The sequence below is a fragment of the Homo sapiens genome, chromosome 17 (assembly GCF_000001405.40).
Source record: "Homo sapiens chromosome 17, GRCh38.p14 Primary Assembly".
In the NCBI taxonomy this organism is placed as follows: Eukaryota; Metazoa; Chordata; class Mammalia; order Primates; family Hominidae; genus Homo; species Homo sapiens.
In genome coordinates this window covers 14,352,665-14,356,465 of record NC_000017.11, presented here as the reverse complement: position 1 = coordinate 14,356,465, position 3,801 = coordinate 14,352,665, and the positions used below count along the sequence as shown (strand labels likewise).

Below are 3,801 nucleotides of genomic sequence, written 5' to 3'. Positions count from 1 at the left end.
ACCATCATTGCCCATCCGGGTCCCTGCAGCTGTGCCGCCAAGGGACCCCTTTGTCTCTACTCCTAATTCTTCCAATCTATTCTCCCCAGAGGCCAACATCATCTTTTAAAAGTGCTAATCTGATAGTAACTTGGGTTTTTCCTAAATTCCACAGCCTTCAGCGCTCATGCTTTTCTTTCATAAACAAATAAAATAACTAGAGCGGAACCGCAGGAAGCCCTTGCTTATCTTTCACTTCTGAGGCTCCCATTTCCTGGGGTTCCATTGTGATGGATCCCTTCCCTCTCTTACACGATTCCCAAATCTTCTCTTCATTTCCCAAGAGCAGAGCCAAGGTCTCCAAAATTCCACTGTCAAGGTTCGCAAAGCCTGTAGCGATTAAGACAGACTTTGGGGTTGCATACCAGAGTGGAATGAGAACACCTCCCAATAACAACTTAACTTAGGTGTCAGGCTGTTATGGGTTGAATTGTAACCCCTAGAAAGATACAATCAAGTGCTAACCCCTAGTACCTGTGAATGTGGGCTTATTTAGAAATAGGATCTTTGCAGAGGTAATCAAGTTAAAATGAGGTCATTAGGTGTCCAATATGATTGGTGTCCTTCTAAGAAGAGGGGGATTTGGACACAGCCCCTGGGAGGAGAATGCCATGTGAAGACACAGACACAGAGGGAAGACAGCCCTGTGACCACAGAGGCAGAGGCTGGAGTTTTGCTGCCAAAAGCCAAGGAATGCCTGGGGCTACCAGAAGCTGCCTCCCTAAATGCCTATCACCAGAGTTCATCACAAGAAAATGAGAATCCCTTAGTTTACTTTTTTTCTGCCCAAGGAAGTCACATTTTACATTATTTCTAGTACACTTTTAACCTCTCTCTGTCTTATCCTTTCTCACCCAAACTATGCCCAAAGTCTTCTCATTTCAGACCCCAATGATCTTATTGTTTCTAAACCATGAGAAAAGCTCTCTTAGAAGCATTGTGCCCTCATTAAAAGCTAGCTTTCCAAATATCATTTTTTTCCTTCCCTGTAAAACTATCTTGTCACTCATCTGTTTAAAACTCTTATCCTTTCCCCCCCAGGATATAATCTAAACGCCTTATTCTTTCATTCAACAGATAATTAAGCAACTCTTAGGTGCTGTTGAAAATACCTTGCTGGCTAATAAGAAGCCATGATCTCTTCCGTCATGGAAATTGCAGACTAGTGCTGAAGAAAGACAATAAGAAAACACACAAATACATACATAACCACAAATGTGACAATTGGTCTGAAGAAAGGGGATTGGATTTTCTGAGCTAAAAAAAAAGAGCAGAAGTTAATTTGACTGGGGATTGTTCCAATTATCTATTATTTGAATTTCAAACCACCCCAAAATTTGGTGGCTTAAAAGAAAAATCAGTTATGATGTCTCTTGATTTTGTTGGTTGCCTGGGCTCAGCTGGGTGGTTCTTTTGTTCCATATGATGGAACCGCAGTCAACTGGGTGCTTAACAAGGCTAGGACACCCAAGAGGGATGATTAATATGGTGGCAGTTGATGCTAGCTGCCAGCTGGGAGCTCAAATGAGACTATTGACCAAAATGCCTATACGTGGTCTCTCTATGTGGTTTGGGCTTCTCAAAGCATAGAAGCAGGCTTCCAAAAGGGAGCATCAGAAGAGAGGAAGCAGAAGTGGGCAGGCCAATTAATGGCTTGTCCAGGAGTGGGCTCAGGAGTGATTCTGTTGTCTTCTGTCACAAGCCCAGCAACTAGATCAGTGTTGGAGAGGGTTACCCCAGGGTGTGAATGCCAGGAGGCAGGGTTCATTGGGGTAGCAGTCTACCATAGGGAGTTAAAGAAGTCCACACTGAGAAAGTCATGGGCAGGCGTGGGGAGGTGTCAAGATTGGAAAGCAGAGTATAAGTTAGCCAGGCAAGGAGTTGGAAGAAATGCATCCAACATGGGAACGTGGCTCCTTCTAGGAGCTGAAAGAAATGATGTGGCTGGAGCAGGGGGACCAAGGAGGCATAAGTATACAACAATGAGCCTGAGTCGAGCCTTCCCAGACACATTAAGGAGTTGACATTTATTTGAAACATAATGGGAGGCTATTTAAGGGCTGATAGCAGGAGGAATACACAGCCCAATTTGAGTTTTAAAAGATCCTTCCAGCTGCTGTGAGTAAACTTGGTTGGAGGAAGTAGGAGGAGGACATCATGGGAGGCTGGGGTAGGCTACCGCAGTGGCTCAGCATATAGGACCATAGCTTATACAGAGCGATAGTGTCAGGGGAGATAGAAAGAAGTGGATGGATTTGGGAAATTTTCTGGAAGTTGTCTTGACAGCACTCAGTGATGGATTGGATGTAAAGAATGTGGGAGAAAAAATGTCAAAAATGACTCCAAGTTTTCTAGCTTGAGCACTCCCAGAAGGAGAGATTAGTGGAGATTTAGGGACGAGAGCTGAGAGTTCAGTTCAGGGCATGTTTATATTTCAGATGCTTAAGGAGACATCCAAATAGAGATGTCAGGTGGGCAACTGGAGAAAGAAGTTGGGAGCTCAAAAGCAGCTGGATTGCTCTTAATTTGCCTGCAGTACGATTTTCTGGGTTTTGTTTATTGGTTTGTGTGTTTTTTGAGACGGAGTCTCGCTCTTTCGCCAGGATGGAGTGCAGTGGTGCGGTCTCGGCTCACTGCAACCTCCAACTCCCTGGTTCAAAGGATTCTCCTGCCTCACCCTCTCGAGTAGCTGGGATTACAAGCGCACACCATCTCGCCCAGCTAATTTTTGTATTTTTAGTAGAGACGGGGTTTCACCATGTTGGCCAGGCTGGTCTCAATCTCCTGACCTTGTGATCCGCCCGCCTCGATCTCCCAAAGTGCTGGGATTACAGGCGAGAGCCACCGCGCGACCGGCCACAATCTTCTGTTTATCCCCTCCAGAGCCGTCCTCCACCCCTCCCACCATCCGCTCCAGGCTGCTTCCCTGCTGAACGGCCTGCAGTTTCCTACAGGCAGTATTTTTCTCACATCTAGATCTTTGCATGGGATAATGTCCCTCTACCACCCCATCCCATGGCTACATCATACCAGATTTATAGGTTTGACCCTTCCTCTACTGTGCACCCCCACCCCCCACCTCTCACCCCACGGCACCTCTTCACGGCCCTTGTCACACTGCATTGTGGTTGCATCTTCCCTTGTCCTTCAACTTCCCCATGGAATGCAAATTCCTTGAAGCAGGAAGTGTTTCTTGTTTAGGGTTGTGTCCCTAGCAGCAGCAGACACTCGGTAAATAATGCTGGATGAATGAATTGACCTCTGACTTCAGCTTCTTCGTGTTCCAATTCACAGAGAATATCATAACGAAAGTACACTACTTTGGACATCCCTCTCCTAAGATGCCTCCCTTCCTCAGCAGCTCTGGAGGCTTCCTGTTGTTTACTGCTTCCAAAAGAGGCTTCATGCCTCTCTCTTCTCTTTTCAAATATATGGAAACAGAAAGCCTGCAAGGCCTGTTTGTTTTGAGGTTACGGTTTCTTAACAAGTGAGGAATTATAGACAGCTTCTACACATCCAAGGAGCCACCAGAGCAGGAGGCGCTGGGGATCAACAGAGAAAATGTAAAGGAGCCTCTAACACCTTCTTTTTTTTTTTTTTTTTTGAGACAGAGTCTCGCTCTGTCGCCCAGGCTGGAGTGCAGTGGCACAATCTCAGCTCACTGCAACCTCCGCCTCCTGGGTTCACACCATTCTCCTGCCTCAGCCTCCCGAGTAGCTGGGACTACAGGTGCCCACCACCACGCCCAGCTAATTTTTTGTA

General features: G+C 46.2%; 1 annotated feature.

The window, feature by feature from the left end:
* Positions 2,576-3,402: an enhancer, noted in NCBI's record as "H3K4me1 hESC enhancer chr17:14256381-14257207 (GRCh37/hg19 assembly coordinates)". NCBI's record gives its function as "activates a minimal SCP1, AML or CMV promoter by ChIP-STARR-seq in primed H9 embryonic stem cells {active_cell/tissue: H9 hESC(primed)}" and the evidence as "EXISTENCE:reporter gene assay evidence [ECO:0000049][PMID:30033119]".